This window comes from Homo sapiens, chromosome 4, assembly GCF_000001405.40.
Source record: "Homo sapiens chromosome 4, GRCh38.p14 Primary Assembly".
Taxonomy (NCBI): Eukaryota; Metazoa; Chordata; class Mammalia; order Primates; family Hominidae; genus Homo; species Homo sapiens.
In genome coordinates, this window is record NC_000004.12 from 140,214,138 (window position 1) to 140,219,984 (window position 5,847).

Genomic DNA, 5,847 nt, shown 5'->3' on the forward strand with positions numbered 1-5,847 from the left:
AGTATATGTGTATGATGTGTCTTCCCTACTGGAATATAAATTCTATAGGGGTAGGGACTAAATGAGTCTGTCAGTGTGGTATCCTCACTGCCTAGCACAATGCTTTCTGTATGTAAGTAGAAGCTCACTACTTACTATCCCTCACTATCCCTCAACCTCTTTCTCCTTTCAGTCTTGGCACCACACTTCAATCTCTCCCTTCTCTTAATTTCAATTCCTTTCATTTTCTGGTAGAGACAAAGGAGACACGTTTTATCCATGGACCCAAAACTCTGGTGCCAGTCACAGACTGGTAAGGCAGCCTTCCCTTCATGTTTAATCATTGCAGGGATGCCTGATTATTCACCCACGTTTCAAAGGTGTCAGACCACGCAGGGACACCTGCCTTGGTCCTTCGCCCTTAGCGGCAAGTCCTGCTTTTCTTGGGGAGGGGCAAGTACCCCAACCCCTTCTCTCCGTGTCTATACCCCTTCTCTGCTTTTCTGGGGGAGGGGCAAGTATCCCTCAACCCCTTCTCCTTCACCCTTAGCGGCAAGTCCTGCTTTTCTAGGGGGCAAGAACCCCCAATCCCTTATTTCCGCACCCCGACCCCTTTCCCACTTTTCTGGAGGGTAAGAACCCCTGAACCCCTTCTCTCCATGTCTCTATGCTCTCTTTTCTCTGGGCTTGCCTCCTTCACTATGGGCAACCTTCTACCCTCCATTCCTCCTTCTTCTCCCTTAGCCTGTGTTCTCAAGAACTTAAAACCTCTTCAACTCACACCTGACCTAAAACCTAAATGCCTTATTTTCTTCTGCAACACCACTTGTCCCCAATACAAACTTGACAGTGGCTTTAAATGGCCAGAAAACGGCACTTTCGATTTCTCCATCCTACAAGACCTAAATAATTTTTGTCAAAAAATGGGCAAATGGTCTGAGGTGCCTTACATCCAGGCATTTTTCACCCTGTCCCCTCAGTCCCAACCCCAAGAGTCGCTGAGTCTTTCCAGTCTTCCTTTTCTACAGACCCATCTGACTTTTCCCCTCCTCCCTAGGCTGCTCGTTGCCAGGCTAAGTCCCAATTCTTCCTCAGCTTCCACTCCTCCACCCTATAATCCTTTTATTACCTCCCCTCCTCACACCTGGTCCAGCTTACAGTTTAGTTCCGTGACTAGCTCTTCCCCACCTGCCCAACAATTTCCTCTTAGAGAGGTGGCTGGAGCTAAAGGCATAGTCAAGGTTAATGCTCCTTTTTCTTTATCCCAAATCAGATAGCGTTTAGGCTCTTTATCATCAAATATAAAAATCCAGCCCAGTTCATGACTTGTTTGGCAGCAACCCTGAGACACTTTACAGCCCTAGACCCTAAAAGGTCAAAAGGCCGTCTTATTCTCAAAATACATTTTATTACCCAATCTGCTCCCAACATTAAATAAAACTCCAAAAATTAAATTCCAGCCCTCAAACTCCACAACAGGATTTAGTTAACCTCACCTTCAAGGTGTACAATAATAGAAAAAAGTTGCAATTCCTTGCCTCCACTGTGAGACAAACCCCAGCCACATCTCCAGCACACAAGAACTTCCAAATGCCTGAACCGCAGTGGCCAGGCGTTCCTCCAGAACCTCCTCCCCCAGGAGCTTGCTACAAGTGCCAGAAATCTGGCCACCAGGCCAAGGAATGCCTGCAGCCCAGGATTCCTCCTAAGCCATGTCCCATCTGTGTGGGACCCCACTGGAAATCGGACTGTCCAACTCACCTGGCAGCCACTCCCAGAGCCCCTGGAACTCTGGCCCAAGGCTCTCTGACTGACTCCTTCCCATATCTTCTCGGCTTAGTGGCTGAAGACTGACACTGCCTGATCGCCTCAGAAGCCCCCTAGACCATCACGGAAGCCGAGCTTCACGTAACTCTCACAGTGGGAAGTAAGTCCGTCCCCTTCTTAATCAATACGGAGGCTACCCACTCCACATTACCTTCTTTTCAAGGACCTGTTTCCCTTGCCTCCATAACTGTTGTGGGTATTGACAGCCAGGCTTCTAAACCTCTTAAAACTCCCCAACTCTGGTGCCAACTTAGACAATACTCTTTTAAGCACTCCTTTTAGTTATCCCCACCTGCCCAGTTCCCTTATTAGGCCGAGACACTTTAACTAAATTATCTGCTTCCCTGACTATTCCTGGATTACAGCTACATCTCATTGCCGCCCTTATTCCCAATCCAAAGCCTCCTTTGCATCCTCCTCTTGTATTCCCCCACCTTAACCCACAAGTATAAGATACCTCTACTCCCTCTTTGGTGACCCATCATGCACCCCTTACCATCTTATTAAAACCTAATCACCCTTACCCCGATCAATGCCAATATACCATCCCACAGCATGCTTTGAAAGGATTAAAGCCTGTTATCACTCGCCTGCTACAGCATGGCCTTTTAAAGCCTATAAACTCTCCTTACAATTCTCCCATTTTACCTATTCCAAAACCAGACAAGCCTTAGAAGTTAGTTCAGGATCTGTGCCTTATCAACCAAATTGTTTTGCCTATCCACCCCATGGTGCCAAACCCATATACTCTCCTATCCTCAATACCTCCCTCCACAATCCATCATTCTGTTCTGGATCTCAAACATGCTTTCTTTACTATTCCTTTGCTCTTGTCTTCCCAGCCTCTCTTCGCTTTCACTTGGACTGACCCTGACACCCATTAGGCTCAGCAAATTACCTGGGCTGTACTGCCTCAAGGCTTCACAGACAGCCCCCATTACTTCAATCAAGCCCAAATTTCATCCTCATCTGTTACCTATCTCGGCATAATTCTCATAAAAACACACGTGCTTTCCCTGCTGATCATGTCCGATTAATCTCCCAAACCTCAATCCGTTACAAAACAACAACTCCTTTCCTTCCAAGGCATGGTTAGTGCAGTCAGAATTCCTACACAAGAGCCAGGACTGCACCCTGTAGCCTTTCTGTCCAAACAACTTGACCTTACTGTTTTAGCCTACCCATCATGTCTCTGTGCAGCGGCTGCTGCCACCCTAATACTTTTAGAGGCCCTCAAAATCACAAATTATGCTCAACTTACTCTCTACATTTCTCATAACTTCCAAAATCTATTTTCTTCCTCATACCTGACTCATATACTTTCTGTTCCCTGGCTCCTTCAGCTGTACTCACTCTTTGTTAAGTCCCACAATTACCATTGTTCCTGGCCCGGACTTCAATCCGGCCTCCCACATTATTCCAGATACCACACCTGACCCCCATGACTGTATCTCTCTGATCCACCTGACATTCACCCCATTTCCCCATATTTCCTTCTTTCCTGTTCCTCACCCTGATCACGCTTGATTTATTGGTGGCAGTTCCACCAGGCCTAATCACCACACACCAGCAAAGGCAGGCTATGCTATAGTACAAGCCACTAGCCAGCCTCTTAGAACCTCTCATTTCCTTTCCATCGTGGAAATCTGTCCTCAAGGAAATAATTTCTCAGTGTTCCATCTGCTATTCTACTACTCCTCAAGGATTATTCAGGCCCCCCTCCCTTCCCTACACATCAAGCTGGACGATTTGCCCCCACCCAGGACTGGCCAATTAGCTTTACTCAACATGCCCCGAGTCAGATAACTAAAATACTTCTTAGTCTAGGTAGACACTTTCACTGGATAGGTAGAGTCCTTTCCTACAGGGTCTGAGAAGGCCACCGCAGTCATTTCTTCCCTTCTGTCAGACATAATTCCTCGGTTTAGCCTTCCCACCTCTATACAGTCTGATAACAGGCCAGCCTTTATTAGTCAAATCAGCCAAGCAGTTTTTCAGGCTCTTAGTATTCAGTGAAACCTTTATATCACTTACGGTCCTCTGTCTTCAGGAAAAGTAGAACGGACTAAACGTCTTTTAAAAACACACCTCACCAAGCTCAGCCACCAACTTAAAAAGGACTGGACAATACTTTTATGACTTTCCCTTCTCAGAAGTCAGACCTGTCCTCAGAATGCTACAAGGTACAGCCCATTTGAGCTCCTATATAGATGCTCCTTTTTATTAGGCCCCAGTCTCATTCCAGACACCAGACCAACTTAGACTGTGCCCCCAAAAAACTTGTCATCCCTACTATCTTCTATCTAGTCATACTCCTATTCACCATTCTCAACTACTCATACCTGCCCTGCTCTTGTTTACACTGCCGGTTTACACTGTTTCTCCAAGCCATCACAGCTGATATCTCCTGGTGCTATCCCCAAACTGCCACTCTTAACTCTTGAAGTAAATAAATAATCTTTGCTGGCAGGACTATGCTGAATCTGCTTAGGCACTCTCTAATCAGATGTCCTGAGTCGTCCCAATTCTTAGACCTTTTATACCTGTTTTTCTCCTTCTCTTATTCCATTTAGTTTTTCAATTCATACAAAACTGTATCCAGGCCATCACCAATAATTCTAAATGACAAATTTTCCTTCTAACAACCCCACAATATCACCCCTTACCACAAAATCTTCCTTCAGCTTAATCTCTCCCACTCTAGGTTCCCACGCCACCCCTAATCCCGCTGGAAGCAGCCCTGAGAAACATCGCCCATTATCTCTCCATACCATCCCCCAAAATTTTCACTGTCGCAACACTTTACCACTATTTCATTTTATTTTTCTTATTAATATAAGAAGACAGGAATGTCAGGCCTCTGAGCCCAAGCTAAGCTATCATATCCCCTGTGACCTGCACGTACACATCCAGATGGCCGGTTCCTGCCTTAACTGATGACATTCCACCACAAAAGAAGTGAAAATGGCCTGTTCGTGCCTTAACTGATGACATTGTCTTGTGAAATTCCTTCTCCTGGCTCATCCTGGCTTAAAAGCTCCCCCACTGAGTACCTTGTGAACCCCACTCCTGCCTGCCAGAGAACAACCCCCCTTTTTCCTTTTCCTACCCAAATCCTATAAAATGGCCCCACCCCTATCTCCCTTCACTGACTCTCTTTTCGGACTCAGCCCGCCTGCACCCAGGTGATTAAAAGCTTTATTGCTCACACAAAGCCTGTTTGGTGGTCTCTTCACATGGACGCGCATGAAACTGCCTTGTGGACCAAGGAGCAAAGGACACCAGTTTGCAGCATGAGGGAAATGCCACAGATGTGACAAAAGAAGTAGAGAGGAGAGACAGAACTCCTGCAGTGCTCCAGAATGCCTGTTTCTCCTGGGGCCTCTTCCTTGACTCTCAAGAGTTTCCACAGTACCCTTCCCACAAAGTTCCCTTTTTTGATTAAAGTACTTTAAGTTGGATTTGTGAGTCCTACATAATATACTTTGGAGGTGTTAAAACACAGGGCAGCAGGGTGCGATGGCTCATACCTGTAATTCCAGCACTTTGGAAGGCTGAGGCAGGCAGATTGGTTGAGCCCAGGAGGTTGAGACCAGCCTGGGGAACATGGCAAGACCAGGTCTCTACAAAAAATACAAAAATTAGCCAGGTGTGGTGGGACACACCTATAGTCCCAGCTCCTCGAGGGGCTGAGGTGGGAGGATTGCTTGAGTCCAAGAGGTCGAGGCTGCAGTGAGCTGTGATTGTGGCACTGCACTCCAGCCTGGGCAACAGAATGAGACCATGTCTCAAAACAAACAAACAAACACAGGGCAGCTGGCAGTCCCCTGCCTTCCTTCACACAAAACAGATGGGCTGTGAGGAGGAGGCTTTAAGGAATGAGAGGAGACCTTCAGGAATGGCTACACTCTATTCTCCAAAGAACAGGCCAGGCATAGAGGATGGAGGCCAGGAAAGAAAGCCATTCAAATTGGAAAGGAAGAATTAAAATGATCTCTGTTTGCAGAGGACATGATCATATATGTAGAAAACTTTAAAGAC

The 5,847-nt window shown here is 46.5% G+C and overlaps 1 annotated feature.

The window, feature by feature from the left end:
• Positions 4,978 to 5,272: a silencer, noted in NCBI's record as "tiled region #8632; K562 Repressive non-DNase unmatched - State 21:Repr". NCBI's record gives its function as "represses a minimal TATA promoter and a strong SV40 promoter by Sharpr-MPRA in K562 cells {active_cell/tissue: K562}" and the evidence as "EXISTENCE:reporter gene assay evidence [ECO:0000049][PMID:27701403]".